This window comes from Homo sapiens, chromosome 8 (assembly GCF_000001405.40).
Source record: "Homo sapiens chromosome 8, GRCh38.p14 Primary Assembly".
Taxonomy (NCBI): Eukaryota; Metazoa; Chordata; class Mammalia; order Primates; family Hominidae; genus Homo; species Homo sapiens.
The window spans coordinates 22,377,628-22,394,744 of record NC_000008.11 but is presented as its reverse complement, the minus strand read 5'-3'; the positions used below and the strand labels follow the sequence as shown (position 1 = coordinate 22,394,744).

The 17,117-nt window shown below is 50.2% G+C and overlaps 1 protein-coding gene and 1 pseudogene across 14 annotated transcripts in view, besides 2 other annotated features; one reads left to right on the top strand and one right to left on the bottom strand.

Annotated features, from left to right (window-relative positions):
• Positions 1–17,117, bottom strand: part of SLC39A14 (solute carrier family 39 member 14) — a 66,852-nt gene that overhangs the window by 39,385 nt on the left and 10,350 nt on the right. For 3 of the 14 annotated variants that reach the window (XM_047421654.1, XM_047421653.1, NM_001351658.2), the window contains exon 2: positions 1,513–1,691. The exons of 4 other annotated variants lie outside the window; for them this stretch is intronic. Coding sequence is in view for 4 of the 10 variants with exons in the window: in XM_047421653.1 (XP_047277609.1) it covers positions 1,513–1,527 (15 nt within the window). In the remaining 6 variants the exon portion in view is untranslated. Of the gene's footprint in view, positions 1–1,325; positions 1,910–3,897; positions 4,016–15,230; positions 15,319–17,117 lie in introns of those variants that run through there. 7 more of the 14 variants (NM_001351656.2, XM_047421655.1, NM_001351657.2 and 4 more) reach the window with 6 other exon arrangements.
• Positions 1,125–1,687: an enhancer, noted in NCBI's record as "H3K4me1 hESC enhancer chr8:22250571-22251133 (GRCh37/hg19 assembly coordinates)". NCBI's record gives its function as "activates a minimal SCP1, AML or CMV promoter by ChIP-STARR-seq in primed H9 embryonic stem cells {active_cell/tissue: H9 hESC(primed)}" and the evidence as "EXISTENCE:reporter gene assay evidence [ECO:0000049][PMID:30033119]".
• On the top strand, positions 4,459–4,910 carry RPL21P77 (ribosomal protein L21 pseudogene 77; annotated as a pseudogene).
• Positions 10,574–11,187: an enhancer, noted in NCBI's record as "H3K27ac-H3K4me1 hESC enhancer chr8:22241071-22241684 (GRCh37/hg19 assembly coordinates)". NCBI's record gives its function as "activates a minimal SCP1, AML or CMV promoter by ChIP-STARR-seq in primed H9 embryonic stem cells {active_cell/tissue: H9 hESC(primed)}" and the evidence as "EXISTENCE:reporter gene assay evidence [ECO:0000049][PMID:30033119]".

Here is a 17,117-nt window from a genome sequence, read left to right as displayed (position 1 = left end):
CTTAACAATGAAATGCATGTAATTAATACAGAAATGGAAATACGGAGAGCTCAGGAATGCAGAAAGTATGGTAAGAGGACTGACGGTGAGCATTAAAACCCTTCCTATAAGAAATAATAAAAAATCGGCCGGGCACAGTGGCTCACGCCTGCAATCCCAGCACTTTGGGCGGCCGAGGCGGGCGGATCACAAGGTCAGGAGATCAAGACCATCCTGGCTAACACGATGAAACCCCGTCTCTACTAAAAATACAAAAAATTAGCCGGGCGTGGTGGTGGGCGCCTGTAGTACCAGCTACTTGGGAGGTTGAGGCAGGAGAATGGCGTGAACTCGGGAGGTGGAGCTTGTAGTGAGCCGAGATCACTGCACTCCAGCCTGGGTGACAGAGCGAGATTCCAACTCAAAAAAAAAAAAAAAGACATAATAAAAAATCATTACAGGGCTGGGCACAGTGGCTCATGCCTACAATCCCAGCACTTTGGGAGGCTGAGGCAGGTGGATCACGAGGTCAAGAGATAGAGATAATCCTGGCCAACATGGTGAAACCCCGCTTCTACTAAAAATACAAAAATTAGCTGGGTGTGGTGGCGCACGCCTGTAGTCCCAGCTGCTTGGGAGCCTGAGGCAGGAGAATCACTTGAACCCCGGAGGCAGAGGTTGCAGTGAGCCAAGATCACGCCACTATACTTCAGCCTGGCAACAGAGCGAGACTCTGTCTCAAAAAAAAAAAAAAACACCCCTTCAGATAAGAAATAATAAAAAATCATTACAGGGCTGGGGGCGGTGGCCCATGTCTGTAATCCCAGCACTCTGGGAGGCCAAGGCAGGTAGATTGCTTGAGCTCAGGAGTTCAAGACCAGCCTAGGCAACATGATGAAACCCTGTCTCTATAAAAAATGCAAAAGTTAGTCAGGTGTGGTGATGAATGCCTGTAGTCCCCGCTACTGAGGAGGCCTGAGGTGGGAGGACTGCTTGAGCCCAGGAGTTTGAGGCTGCAGTGAGCTATGACTGTGCCACCGCACCCCAGCCTGGGTGACAGAGAAAGACCTTGTCTCAAAAAATCATCAAAATAACATAAATCAATTAAAAAAAACACATTTGGCTACGGAAACTGCCAAATGTTTTACAAATGCTTGATTAATACACTCTGGATATTCATGGTCAAACTAACAACGATACAGTCATCTGTGTGAGTCCCAGTTTACGAAATCAGAAACCCAAACATCTGCCAGCTTGGTCATCAACTGAATACTGCCCTACAGGCTTCTCTGGGGGTAGAAAGAGCTTTGAGAAAAACCATCCAGCCCATGGCCCACCCCACTCACCCAAAGAACACCGTGTGAGAAGCCACTCTCCCCTCAGACAAGCTGACCTAGGCTGACACCTTCACTCAGGCAAACAGCAAATCTCACAGTTGGAAAACCAACCCTCGCTTGGCCCTGCCCCGGGGCTTAATCGGCCCATTCTCCCCCTGCCTCCTCTTGCCCTCCCACCTACTGCTCTCCTCCATACCCTGAAAGGATGCATTATCTTCCTCCAGCTCCTGCTCCCAGGACCTTCGCCTCAAGCCTTGGCACAGTCAAAGCGCACCCAGGGTGGGAAATTTCCAGACAGTGCAGGAGGGCGGCCAGCGGAGCCCACTCACTCTCCTTGTGAAACCTCGCGCTGATGGGAGGGGCAGGATGGGAAAACTAAGAAAAATAATAATAAAAACTCTGGTGACCCAGAAGCAGGGAACAAAATTAGAACCTTGAGCCTGCTGTTCACCAACTAATATTTACTGAGCCCCCACTGTGTGTGCCAGCGCCTGTGGGAGGAGGTTATGAGGCAGAGACGGGTGGTCAGGGCCCCAGGCAGCGGCACAGACAAACAGGGAATGGCTTATTTAGCCCCACGCTGAGCGCGGAGTGAGTGTAATGACAGCCAGGCCCAGGCGCTGGAGCCAGGAGGAGGGAGGGAGGGAGGGAGCACATTTGCCAGGCTTGCTCCAGCCCAGCTGGAGCTGGAGCAAAGGGGACTTCCCAAAGCAACTGAGTCAGGTGGGCAGGGACCCGGGAAGGGCCCACAGTGGCCAGCCGGTGTTTTCCCCACCCGAGGCCAGGGCCAGAGTCACCTCACTTCTCATCATTCATCCATCAACACTTCCCAGACAGTTGCAAAATTCTCCCTGTCGTCCAAGTTCACTCCCATTTGTCAGACCGTGAGGCCGGGCATGTGGCTTAGGAAACGCGGTACTCACATCCATCACTTACGTCACCCCCATGAAGCAGAACTTCCCGGCTTGTTATTCGGGATCAGATAAATAAATAGAAAGAATGATCTAGTGGCCAAATCACTGGACAACACGACGTGCCACACGCCCTGGGTTCAACTTTGGGGCCTGCCAGGAACTTCCCAAGCGTGTCCGGCACAATTAAACTGTGAAAGCACCGAGCTCGCAGAGGCACTCTGATCAAGACAGAGCTTAAAGGCTGCACAGCACAGCACTGAGCCCGGCACCTTCCTAGTTCCCCATCTTCTGGGTTCTCAGGACAACGGCTTTACTTAGTCCTGAATTCTGGTTCTGTTCAATTGCCTCCCTGTCCAGGAAGCCGTCTTGGGTCACTTTTCCAGCACTTTTCTCTGGCTATTATGGACTCCTCATTACCTTGTTTCCCAGGGAGCCTCCCCAGCTAGATTTGTATTCCTTGAAGATAACTTTCTGAAATGCATCCTTCCCTCCTATTTCTTCTATGTCCTCCTCTCCTCCCTGCCTGCAACACAGTGCCTGGGACAGTGCTGGGCACATAATGTGCTAGAGACAGAGAAGTTTTGCCTCCCTTCTAACTGAAGTCGGCCTGCATCGCCCCTGCAACCTGATAAAGAACAGGGAGCCCTGGCCGGGAGCGGTGGCTCATGCCCGTAATCCCAGCACTTTGGGAGGCCAAGGCAGGCGGATCACGAGGTCAGGAGTTCAAGACCACCCTGGCCAAAGTGGTGAAACCCCGTCTCTACTAAAAATACAAAAATTAGCAGGGCATGGTGGCGGGTACCTGTAACCCCAGCTACTCGGGAGGCTGAGGCAGAGAATTGCTTGAACCCGGGAGACAGAAGTTGCAGTGAGCCGAGATCGCGCCACTGCACTCCACCCTGGGCAACAGAGCAAAGACTCCATCTCAAAAGAAAAAAAAAAAAGAACAGGGAGCTCAGAACCACTTTCCAAGGACATTCTATCCTCCTTGGCCCACAGACCAACTTTAACCCAGATCATCTGAAGTCAGGTGTCAGGACCACCTATTATGCACTTCTCTAGAGTAAACAACTCCCTGACCTTGAATTTCATTTACATTAATTGAACTAAAAGCTAGCATATTACCTGCTGGCTTTAAAAACTCACTCCAAGAGTTTATCCATTCAACAAATACTCACTGCTTACCAATTATGTGCCAGAAGTCATGCTAGGTATTGGGGATGCAAAGGACCTAGCACCTGCCCTCAACAAAGTAGGGAAAGCAAACAATTCAACAAGGAACCTAACCTGAATGATGATGACAAGGGGGATGTATAGATCAGGGTGCAGTTAGGCTATTTTGGCAGACAGGGGTTTTGTACAGGATATTAAATGGCCTAGAGGCTCCTTCGAAGAGCTGAATTAACAAGACTCTAGGCTAAGTCCCAGGAGCTACCTATTTGCAAAGATCACGTTGCAGAGCTGGGATGCCATGGAGCTGCTGCCTGTGCTCCCACCAGATAGCTATGGCACAAGAAGCCGCCTGCTCCAGAACCACACTGTCCTTGCCATGAGCCACACCAGGGAAATGCATGTCCCAGGATCCACCCTCCGGAAGGTGTCCAGGCTCTCCCCGCGGGACTGTTACACACTTAAGACTGGTTCAAGGGCTGGATGTGGTGGCTCACCCCTGTAATCCCAGCAGTGTGAGAGGCTGAGGTGGGAGGATTGCTTGAACCCAGGAGTTTGAGGCTGCAACAAGCTATGATTGCACCACTGCACTCCAGCCTGCACAAGAGCGAGACCCTGTTAAAAAAAAAAAGTTAAAAATTTTAAAAAGCCTTTCAGCTGGAACCACCATCTTCCAGCAATTTGACCAAATGACGAACACAAAGGGGAAGAGGAGAGGGGCCTTCTAGAAAACATGGAGTTGTAGGCCAGGCACGGTGGCTCATGCCTGTAATCCCAGCACTTTGGGAGGCCGAGGTGGGCAGATCACTTGAGGCTAGGAGCTCGAGACCAGTCAACATGGAAAAACCCCATCTCTACTAAAAGTACAAAAATTAGCCGGGCATGGTTGTGTGTGCCTGTAGTCCCAGCTATTCGGGAGGCTGAGGCAGGAGATTCACTTGAACCCAGGAGGAGGAGGTTGCAGTGGGCCAAGATTGTGCCACTGCACTCCAGGCTGGGTGACAGAGAAAGACTCTGTCTCAAAAAAAAAAAAAAGTATGCTCTAGTGTCAAAAAGAAAGGAAACATGGAGTTGTTCCTTTGACCACATACAAGGGAATCTATAAGGTGATACTGTAGACATTAGACCTCAAGGGAATGGGTACTGTTCAAAAAAGGAATAACCCACAGATGTTACCATGGCAAAACCAGAGGCGTCTGCAGTGTTCCCCACCATGCTGTCGGCATAGCTGTAAACAAACAAGGGCAAGATTCTGGCCAAGAGAATTAATGTGCGTATTGAGCACAGTGAGCGCTCTAAGAGCCAAGACCGCTTCCTGGAACGCGTGCAGGAAAATGACCAGAAAAAGAAGGAAGCCCAAGAGAAAGATACCTAGGTTCAACTGAAGGGCCAGCCTGCCCCACCCAGAGGAGGGCACTGTGAGGACCAAGGGTACGGGCCTGAGCTACTGGAACCTCTTCCCTGTGAATTCACGGCATAACAGGTATAAAAACCAAAAGACCTCTGGACTGTAAAAAGAAAGCAAAATAGTAAAATAAATACTAATAAATGCTAACTCCAACTCTCTGGCAGCAATACCCTGAGCAAAATGTGCCTCCAAGGGCCTCTCACAAGAAGCCTGTGCACGCCCTACCTCTCAAAATGACTGATAGCCCCCCTAAGCCTCTCACCTCGCCACCCCGGGGAGGGGAGGTGGGCCCTTGGCAGACCTTTAGCCTTTGTGTTCTGCTCACGTCAATCTGCTGGCCCATGACAAGCACCTGTGCAGCAGTAGCGAGGCATGCTTGGATGGGCAGCAAGTGGACCCCAGAAGCCAAGCCTCAGTGGCAACCCCACTGCTGGGCCTGCAGCCAAGACCACCTGCCCCCAGCCTACCCCACCTCCCCCGGGTCCTCCTGTACCACTACCTCCCCCTGCGCGATCTCCTAGCCCTCAAGCCCGCTCACGCCCGACTCCTCCTCAAAGACCCCGCCCATGCCAGTCTGCAGCTGAGATGCAGAGTCTTGTGTGGTAATTTCTCCAGGAAAGGGGTTCTCAAAGTGCGGTTGCTGGAACAGCAGCATCACTGACACCTGGGAACTAGCTGGAAGTGCAAACTCTTAGCACTTCCCCCCATAACCCACTAAATCAGACACTGGGGTTGGACCAGCAACTTGGGTTTGACTAAGTGCTCAGGTGATCATGATGCACACTGAAGTCGGAGGGCTACCGGTCTCACAGGCAGAGCCAGCGCTTTTTCATTCCATCTCCAGATCTCTTAACCAAAACAGGTAAGAAGCGCCGCTGCTCAGCGCCGGCCCCTTCCAGCCCAGCCCCTGCGTCGTCCCTGCTCAAGAGGGCACGACCAGGGCGCCAGCAAGAAAGGCAGGGGCTGCATCTTGAACTTTTGATTTCTCAGTAACTATAAATACTTATCAACAGATTAATAAAAAAGCCCCATTCTCATGAGAAAGAGGGTTACTGAAAGAAAGGAAAAGCCCATATTTCCAAATTGGGTTAGAAAGGTAGACAAGTGAATCATAATTCCTCCATTCTCCCTCGGGCTGTCCAAACCTCCCACACAGCACATTCTTCTGGCTCAAGGTCACTGGCAGCCACCATCCCATTACTGAAGTTAAGGCCTTCCCACATCCTCTGCTTTCTCCCTGTGGGGCTCACCACGAACCCAGAGCATCCCCCTACGATTCCAGGCTCCTGAACAGAAAGAAACACTCCAGCCCCTGCTGTTCCCTCCTGGCCACCCAGCCCCTCCCCTCCAGAACCTCCTGCCCCCACTTCATCACCGCCCCTCCCCACCCAAAGCACAACCTCCCAACACTCCGTCCCTCCAGCAATGTGCTATGGCCCTTCTGCCTGGGAGTCAGGGGTCTCTCCAACTGGCGTCCTACCCACTGTCACCCTCACCTGCCACTGCTCTCTTGCCCTGGGCTGCATCTGAAATGTCCTACCCCTCCATCCCTACACGTTTCTATCTCCACACTCCTCCCCGCCACAGGACTAGGAAGTCCCATTCATGTCAGTGGTTTGCACGCACCCCATGCACTCTCTCCACAAGGTGTGAAGGGCCTGGATGAAGAAAACAGGGTGTACTGCAGGACATAGCACCACCTCAGATCCACCCCAATCCTCCAGCACCAGTCCCATCCCCATCCAGGAAACATTCTCACCTCCTGCTTAGTTTCAGTGTCATATGGTCCTAGAAGGACAGGGCTTATATTTTAGGTTTTTCTGATTGTTTCCTAACAGTCCTGTGGGGTTGGTAGGATCTTAATAAGCACCTGCTGCTTAAATGTGTACATGCACACACTCACCGTGCAAACGCATATATAAACAGACAGACACATCCTCACCCCTGCCTCCAGACATGAACAGGCATGCGCCACCACACCCGGCTAAATTTTTTATTTTTAGTAGAGACGGGGTTTCTCCATGTTGGACAAGCTGATCTTAAACTCCCAACCTCAGGTGATCTGCCCACCTTGGCCTCCCAAAGTGCTGGGATTACAGGCGTGAGCCAATGCTCCCGGCTACAGGTGTCTTCTTAAAGCTCCCTGCCAGAGACACAAAGGAAGCAGGAGGAACCTGGCCCAGGGCTCTGAAGAGAGGCTGCCTAGGGCACACACACAAATGGGTTCCAGGACAGAGGCTTCTGGCTCATATCACACCCAGCTCTCACTCAGGGCCAGACGATCCAACACCCGCTCACACAAGGCCCCCTATCCTCAGGTTTAAAAACTTCAAGGCAGGGGGTATGGTGGCACTTTCCAGAAAATATGGCACAAAAGAAGTGACTTCCCTGACAACATAACCACTTATGTATTTCCACTTGCCCTTTCACTCCTCCACGTCCTGCAAACTGCCTGCCTGCCTATTAACAAGGGATCAAAATTCTAACCAGACTTAAAGGCTTACCCTTTCCAGCTAACACCAACCCCAGGGAGCAATCGATTGCCACAAAGCGTTTCTGCTTTTAGCTTGCAACTCGGACAGGCTCCTTTCTGGGTGACTTTCAACCCCGAGGACGTCTTATGGCAGCACTATTCACAGTAACAAAAAACCAGGGCGGACCCAAAAGCCCATCAGCAAGAGAGTGGATGAATGAACTGCATCACGACTTTAACACCAACTGGACACTCCAAGTTTTTAATAACTACTGCCTTTTTTTTTTTTTTAAGACAGGGTCTCACTCTGTTACCTAAACTGGAGTGCACTGACATGATCACAGCTCACTGCAGCCTTGACCTCCCGGACCCAAGCGATCCTCCCACCTCAGCCTCACGGGCAGCTAGGACCAGACGTTCACACCACCATGCCTGGCTACTTTTTTTATTGTTTTGTAGAGACAGGGTCTCACCCTATTGCCCAGCCTGGTCTTGAATTCCTTGGCTCAGAGATCCTCCCGCCCCAGCCTCCCAAAGTGCTGGGATTACAAGAATGAGCCACCACGATTGGCCGACAATAGCCTTTTAAATGCTGCTCATTCTTCAAGGCCCCCTCCAGGAAAATTTGGAAGGACTCTCTGAATCTGAAGACACTGCATTGTAAACTCCCTGAGGACAAGAGATCATCCAAGTCTTCCTTGCAAAGTGGATGGAGTACAAGGAATTTGAATGGAGGAAATGTTGAAATAAAATACAATCTCTTACCTGGGCTTCCAGCTTCCTCTCAGCACCTAGCTCTGTTCTGTCAGAGTCCCCAACTCCCCTCTTTTAAGTTTAACATATGCACATATCAAGTGCCCAAATCTTAAGTTCACAGCTTAATGAAAGAGTCATCTGGGGTGGGCACGGTGGCTTACGCCTGTAATCCTAGCACTTCGGGAGGCCGAGGCAGGTGGATCACCTGAGGTCAGAAGTTCGAGACCAGCCTGGCTAACATGGCGAAACCCCATCTCTACTAAAAATACAAAAATTAGCCAGGCGTGGTGGCACATGCCTGTAATCACAGCTACTCGGGAGGCTGAGGCAGGAGAATCCCTCGAACCCGGGAGGCGGAGGTTGCAGTGAGCCGAGATCGTGCCATTGCACTCCAGCCTGGGCAACAGAGCAAAACTCCATTTCAAAAAAAAAAAAAAAAAGTCATCCTTCTAAAGTACATATTCGTCAGGCGCAGTGGCTCACGCCTGTAATCCCAGCACTTTGGGAGGCTGAGGCAAGCGGATCACCTGAGGTCAGGAGTTCGGGACCAGCCTGGCCAACATATAATGAAACCCCGTCTCTACCAAAAAAATACAAAAAATTAGCCAGGCGTAGTGGTGCACACCTGTAGTTCCAACTACTTGGGAAGCTGAGGCAGGAGAATCACATTAATCCAGGAGGCAGAGGTTGCAGTCAGCCAAGATTGAGCCACTGCACTCCAGCCTAGGCAAGAGTGAGACTCTGTCTCTCAAAAAAATAAAATAAAATAAAGTACAAATTGATCACATCACTTTCCTTGCTTCAACCCCTCCAATGTCTTCCCAGTATATGAAGAATAAAATCTTTTTCATTCTAATTTCTTTTTTAACTTTTTTCAAGACGGGGGTCTTGCTACATTGCCCAGGCTGCTCCTGAACTCCTGGCCTCAAACAATCCCCCCACCTCATCCTCCCAAAGTGCTAGGATTATGGGTGTGAGCCACCACACCCAGCCACATGGAATAAAATCTAAACTCCTCTTCCTGGTCTATAGACCACTGTGTCAACTGGCCTTTGCCCATCCTGCTGACCATATAACTGGCTCATCTCACTCACTGGGCTCCAGCCACCCAGGCCCTTCTTCCCATCCCTTTAACACATCAAGCTCATTCTGACCTCAGAGCCTTTGCACCTGCTATTCCCTCTGCCTAGAATGCTCTTCCCCTAGATCTTCCTAACAGGTCTCAGTTCAAGCGTCGCCTCTTCAATGTGGACAAAAAAGCCCACTCCCAGGCATTGAGAACCCTAATGCCCTATTAGTCTTTTTTCATTATCCATCTCCTCCTAACTAGACTATCAGCTCCAGGAGGGCAGAGACTGGAGGGCCGGGTAGTACCTGGTGTCCATCCCCAAACAACACCCACTGAAAGCATGTTACTTTCCCACTGCCCATTCATGAGGCGCCACACATTTCACTTTTACTGTTCTTTGGTCTTTATGCTCGGGTGAACTACAAGCAACCTTGGGGAGAGGGCAGGGACCCCCCTCTCCTGCAGTTGTTTCAACGGAACTGAAGACCCTGGAGAGCCAGAGAAGCTGGCCTGGAATACAGATGTAAAACATTAAGGTGGAGTTTTTTTGTTTGTTTGTTTTTGTTTTTGTTTTTTTGTGTTTTTTTTGAGACAGGAGTCTCACTCTGTTGCCCAGGCTAGAGTGCAGTGGCGCGATCTCAGCTCACTGCAACCTCCGCCTCCCGGGTTCAAGCAATTCTCCAGTCTCAGCCTCCTGAATAGCTGGGACTACAGGCGCCTGCTACCATGCCAGGCTAATTTTTGTATTTTTAGTAGAGACGGGGTTTCACCTTGTTGGTGACGCTGGTCTGAAACTCCTGACCTCAGGTGATCCACCTGCCTTGGCCTCCCAAAGTGCTGGGATTACAGGCATGAGCCACCGTGCCCGGCCAAGATTTTTTTTTTTTTTTTTTTAAGACAGTCTCACTCTGTTGCCCAGGCTAGAGTGCAGTGGTACAATCTCGGCTCACTGCAACCTCCGCCTCCCAGGTTCAGGCGATCCTTCCACCTTAGCCTGGCGAGTAGCTGGATTACAGACACCCACCACCACGCCTGGCTAATTTTTGTATTTTTTGTAGAGACAGGGTTTAGCCATGTTGGCCAGGCTGGTCTCGAACTCCTGACCTCAAGTGATCTGTCGACCTTGGCCTCTCAAAGTGCTGGGATTACAGGTGTCAGCCACCGCGCCCGCCAGAGTTGTTTTTTTTTTTTTTAAAACATAAAGTGAGGTGGGGTGGGGGACACAAAGGCAGGCAGTGGGAGAGAGGCCCGGGCGGGCAGGCAGCCTCCCTTTCCACATCCCTGAGAAGGTCAACCAGCTGATAATCCCACCAAAAATAACATTCCCACTCTTCCCTGTGGCAGAGGAAGAAAAAGGAAAGTCCACAAGTACAGGCTGTTTCTAGAATTTCTCAGTGGCTCATGGAAATTTTGAGTTTCCCTGCCATCACACACATCCTGAAATGCTGGGGGAGGGGGCCCAGTGCTGCCAAGAGGGAGTGATGCCAGAGTCACCATGGCCACAGCCGGGAGCTGGCCAGCAGAGCCACTGCACACACCAGTTCACCCACGGCCAAGGCTTCTGCCGTGGGAGGCACCACAGAGCGTCTGCTGGGTGTTAGGGGGCGGCCGAGGAGCTGGGAACAGGAACTGAGACATGGAATTTCTGTTCTGAGAGCTGGCACTTGGTCAGCAGCCCGGGCCTGGGGGAGTGGGTGACTTTGTACTTTTTGCATCTTTCTGGGAAGGGAGATGGGAACAGCGTGGCTTGCTGCCCAGGGACCTGGTATCCTGAGAATTACCCAGCCCATCAGATGGAAAACAGCCAGCCCTGGAGAAACGGTCAGCATTGGAATTGGAATACAGATACGCCAATTGGAGTCACATGGGCCTGGGATGACAGGGCACAGGACGCGCCCTCAGTGAGCAGGAGAGAAGGGCGGAGGCAGGGAGGAATTCCAGGGCTCAAAGCCTTGTCATCTCTGTTTCCTGGTAGGGAAAGCAGGGCCAGCCTCCCTGCAGGCCAGCACGGCTCCACCTGGCCCCAAGCCTCAAGTACGCTGTGCTCTAAGAAAACAAGCGCCCAGTCCCTGGGGCCTGGCCGGGGCCCTCTGCTTCCAGGAAAGGACAGAGAGTGCAGACTGTTCAATCTTACAGGGCTCTTTCAAATAACAAGATAAACACCCCATACCCCACCCCACTTGCTCCCATACAACTTTTAGGGCTTCCAGTAAAATAAGTGAAACAATATAGCTGGTCCAGGTCTGTCCCTCCAGGACAGCAGCCCAGTAATCCCTGTGCGGGTGGATGAGGTGCTTCTGGTGAGCTGGCTGCCTCCTCCTCTCCTGGATCCTTGTTCCCCAGCAGGGAACAAAGAAAAGGATCAGAAGGGATCTTCCAAGAATGAAAGGAATCCTGAGATGCAGGGACAAAATTGGCTGGGAGGCAGTCCCTGCCCTCAGGGGTTACAGTCAACAAATATTTATTAGGAACTTACTATATGATTTGCTGAGGCTATCCTCCTGAGCAGAGGCAGTGGTCCTTTCTGGCTCATACCATACCACACCCAGCTTTCCACCAAAGCCAGCAGAAGACCTGCATGGACAAGGATCCCTATCCTCAGGCTAAAAGAAAAACACCGCCACCGGCCGCGGTGACTCACGCCTGTAATCCCAACACTTTGGGAGGCCGATGCGGGTGGATGGCTTGAGCCCAGGAGTTTGAGACTAACCTGGCCAACATAGTGAAACCCCGTCTCTACCAAAAAAAAAAAAAAATTAGCGGGGGCATGGTAGCATGCCTCTGTGGTTCCAACTATTCAGGAGGCTGAGGCAGGAGGATTGCTTGAGCCTGGGAGGCGGAGGCTATGGTGAGGTGAGATTACGACACTGCACTCCAACATGGGTGGCAGAGTAAGACTCTGTCTCAAAAAGGAACAAAACAAAACCCTCAAGGTTGTAAGTTTTATTTATTTATTTTTTTAAATAGAGTCAGGGTCTCACTTCTGTGGCACAGGCTGTAGTGCAGTGCCCGGATCATAGCTCCCTACAGCCTTCAACTCCTGGGCTCAAGGGATCCTCCTACCTCACAAGTAGCTAGGACTACAGGCACATGCCACCAAGCCTGGTGGGCTCATTTTTAACTTTTTTTTGTAGAGATGGGTCTTGCTGCATTGCCCAAGCTAGTCTCGAACTCCAAAACTCAAGCAATCCTCCCCAGTCTCATCTGTCCAAGTAGCTGGGACTACAGGCACATACCACTGTGCCTGACCAAGATTTAACTAGTTCCATACTCCCACTACCTGTGTATGAGTGCCTATTTCATAGGATTCTCACCAATACTGAGTATTAAATTATTCCGTCTTTATAATTTGATAGGTTAAAAATTACTTATTTTTCTAATTATTTTAACCTGCATTTCTTTGATTATCAACGTTTTAGGTTTACTTTTATATTTCTACTCCTTTTTACAAATTACCTGTTACTCTTCTTTGCCTGTTTTTTTTGGTTGTTGTTTTTGAGACAGAGTCTCACTCTGTTGCCCAGGCTGGAGTGCAGTAGCATGATCTTGGCTCACTGCAACCTCCCCCTCCCTGGGTTTAGGCGATTCTCCTGCCTCAGCCTCCCAAGTAGCTGGGATTACAGACCCGTACCACCACACCTGGCTAATTTTTGTATTTTTAATAGAGTCGGGGTTTCACCATGTCGGCCAGGCTGGTCTCGGACTCCTGATCTCAGGTGATCCACCTGCCTCGGTCTCCCAAAGTGAGGGGATTACAGACATAAGCCACTGCACCCAGCCTTCTTTGCCCATTTTTGCTGATATATTCATTTGTTTTTTTTATTGGTTTATTATATGGCAAGATATTAACCTTTTGTCACATGTTACAAATATTCTTCCTAATTAGTTGTTTGCCTTTTAATTTTGTTAACTGGTATTATTGACACAATTTTTAAAGAGGTAAAGTCAAATATGTCATACTTTTCCTTTTTAAAGTTTCTGCTTTTAGTAACATGCTTGGAAAATCCTCTCCTGCCCTGAAAGTATAGGCATATACAGCCGTGTTTTCTTGCATTTAAAAAAATTTAGGGGCCGGGCGCTATGGCTCACGCCTGTAATCCCAGAACTTTGGGAGGCCGAGGCGGGCGGATCATGAGGTCAGGAGATCGAGACCATCCTGTCTAACTCGGTGAAACCCCATCTCTACTAAAAATACAAAACATTAGCCAGGCCTGGTGGCGGGCGCCTATATTCCCAGCTACTTGGGAGGCTGAGGCAGGAGAATGGCGTGAACCCGGGAGGCGGAGCTTGCCGTGAGCCTAGCCCCACCGCACTCCAGTCTGGGTGACGGAGCGAGACTCTGTCTCGGGGAGAAAAAAAAAGAGTAGGGCTGGGCGCGGTGGCTCATGCCTGTAATCCCAGCAAGTTGGGAGGCCGAGGCGGGCAGATCACGAGGTTAGGAGTTCGAAACCAGCCTGGCCAGCATGGTGAAACCCCGTCTCTACTAAAAATACAAAAATTAGCCGGGCATGGTGGCACTCGCCTGTAGTCCCAGCTACTTCGGAGGCTGAGGCAGGAGAATCGCTTGAACCCAGGAGACGGAAGTTGTGGTGAGCCAAGATTGCGCCACTGCACTCTAGCCTGGGCGACAGAGCAAGACTCTGTATAAAAAAAAAAATTCAGAGGCCGGGCATGGTGGCTCACTCCCGTAATTCCAGCACTTTGGGAGGCCAAGGGGGTGGATTGTGTGAGCCCAGGAGTTTGAGACTAGCGTGCGCAACATGGCAAAACCCTGTCTCTACTAAAAATACAATAATTAGCTTGGCATGGTGGTACATGCCTGTAGTCCCAGCTACTTGGAAGGCTGAAATGGAAGGATCACTTGAGCCCGGGAGGTCAAATCAGTAGTGGGCCATTATGGAGCCACTGCACTCCAGCCTGGGCGACAGAGTGAGACCCCATCTCTGGGGGTTAAAAAAAAAAAACAGGAATGGAAAGGCTTACTGATAAGTTGGGCAGGGGGTAGGGTGCTGCAGGGAGGGATGGTGCTTTTTGCTCCCTTTTTGAGGATCTTCACTTGGAGGTATTAAACAGATTCCAGTCTTCGACTGCATCTGTGCGTGGGTCCCTAACCCAGTGGCAACACTGAGGCCTCATCTCGGTCCTGAATCACAACTTTCTGGGTGAGGTCCAGGCCACCTCGGGCTAGAGAGGTGCTGATGGATCAGCCTCTTTCTAGCCCCAGGAACTGGCCTGACACTTCAAGACTGCTGGACCAAACACTGCTGTCCCTTCTAAGTACGACACTCTGCAATCACTTAAGCTCTCTGACCTCAGTTTTCCCTCTTTGCCACAGGGGTACCACAATCTGTCCCCTGCCCATCCTACAGGACAGTGTCACACTCAACCAGAGCTCTCTGTACAGAGGCAAGTTGCTGGTACAGTCATCCCTTGGCATCAGCAGGGGATTGGTTCCAAGACACCCTCTCCGCCTCCAGGATACCAAAATCTACAATTGCTCAAGTCCCTGATATAAAATAGCATAGTATTTGCATATAACCTACGCACTTCCTCCCTATAGACTTTAAACCATCTCTAGGTTACTTATAGTATTGAATACAATGTAAATGGTATGTAATAATTTTTATACTGTGTTTTTTTATTTGTATTCTTTTTAACCATTATATTGTTAGTGTTGTTTCTTTTCTTTTCTTTTTTTTTTTTTTTTTTTTGAGATGGAGTCTCACTCTGTCGCCAGGCTGGAGTGCAGTGGCACAACCTTGGCTCACTGCAACCTCTGCCTCCCGGGTTCAAGGGATTCTCCTGCCTCGGCCTCCTGAGTAGCTGGGATTACAGGCACACCCCACCACCCCCAGCTAATTTTTGTATTTTTAGTACAGACGGGGTTTCACCATGTTGGCCGGGATGGTCTCGATCTCTTGACCTCGTGATCCACCCGCCTCGGCCTCCCAAAGTGCTGGGATTACAGGGGTAAGCCATTACGCCCGGCCAGTTTTGTTTCTTTTCTCAAATATTTTCCATCCGTGGTTGATTGAATCCACAAAGACAGAGACTGCGAGCTGACTGTACTGCAAAGTGTCTGGATCTTAAGGACACAGGGCCTCTAGGCCAGCCTTCAACCCACCTGGTTTTCAGATCTGTGTCACCATGAGGGGAGCAGATGGTCTGAGGATGGGCCCCAGCCTCCACAGCAGCCAAGCTTGCCTTCTCTCCTAGGTTTAAAAATAAATCTCTTTTCTTTGGCAGCTCCGTGAACCAGAGTTTAGTAAGCAACACTTCCCACAACCCTGAATCTAGTGGGGTGAATACTATCCCCGCAAATAACTGTCCACCTGAAATCTCAGAAAGTGACTTTATTTGGAAATAGAGACTTTGCAGATAAAATCAGTTACGGATGTCAAGATGAAATTGTCCTGGATTTACGATGGGCCCTAAATCCAATGACCTATGTCTTTATAAGAGAAAGGAGAGGGAGATTTGGACATGCAGACACACACCAACAGGGGAAGGCCACGTGAAGACAGAGGCAGAGATGGGAGTGGTGCAGCCAGAAGCCAAGGAATGCCAGGAGCCACCAAAAGCTGGGAAAAGAAGGAAGCATTCTCCCCTAGAGCTGTCAGAAGGAGTATGGTCCTGGTGACACCTGCATTTCACACTGCTGGCCTCCAGACCTATAAGAATACATTTCTGTCGTTTTTAAGCCACCAAGTTTCTGGTATCTTGTCAGGGGAACCATGGGACACAGATCCACAGGTAAATACTTTGGTGCCAGAATTAAGACCTGATCATGTTCAGCTGCAGCTGGCAGAACACTAAGAGTGACTCCAGTGACCCTCATTGCTGTGTATGGGCGGGACCCATGAATATGAGACGTCACTCCTGGGATCATGGCACATTATGTGGCAAAAGTGAGCCTGCAGGTATTTGCTGACCACATCAGTTGACCTGAGAAGGGAAATTACGTTGAGTGGGCCAGAACAAAGCTGGTGAGCCCTTACAAGGATGGCTCCTCTTGGCAAAAAGAGCTGAAGCATGAGCAGGACTCAATGTGGGAGACAGGCTGTGTCACAGGGGATGGAGGAGACCACATGGAAAGGAAATATGGGGGCCTCTAGGAACTGAGAGTGGCCCCTGCCTGGTAGCCAGCAATGGAAAATAGGGGTGAGGGGGCAGGGGACCTCAGTCCTATAGCCACAAGGAGCTGAATTTTCCACAACCATCTGAGCCTGGCAGAGGCCCTGAAAACCCAACTGACACCCTAAGTTTAGTCTTCTAGGACCCCCAGCAATGAAGCCAGTCATGCAATGCTCAGCCTTCTGGCCTACAGAATTGAGAAATGATAAACGGGTGTTGTTTCAAGCCACTAAGTGTGTCATACTAACACACTTGCCTGCTCTGATAGACCTCCACTCCCCAGAGCAGTGAAGTGACAAGTTCTGGTCACAGGTGGCAGGGCCAGGCAGTATGGGTCTCTGCACTCTGTCCTATTCCAGTTTACTTCCAATTAATCCATTCTACTGACACATGCCTACCAAGAGCAGGTGGTATGGAAATGAGTGGTAGTGGTTTCTGATCTTGGACCGGGCAGGCTTTAGAGCTTCTAACATTAGGCTACAGTTCTCATCTCACAAAGAATTCTAAAGCTAGGAACGGGAAAGGAGTATTGTTTAAGACAAATACAATTGGCAGGAGAGTTGTGAACTGCAGAGAGGGAGAGCATAGCCGAGCGGGCACAGATCCAAATGGGGTATTCAGCAGGTAAGATGCTGATCAAGCATTCAGTACATCCTAGTGCAGCTCTGGGTGCAGAATCACAGAGTATGTAAAATCAGAAACACTTGCCTCTGCCTCCAGATGTTATCATCTCAAAGGCGAGTTGAGTCAAATAATCTATAGTCCACATGTGGAAATGTGTGTTAATCAGGGCCACGATAATAGGAGCAAAACCAGTGGAAAATAACCTTCACCCCAACTAAGAAAATGACTGAGAGGGTTTTTCACTGTTGGAGAA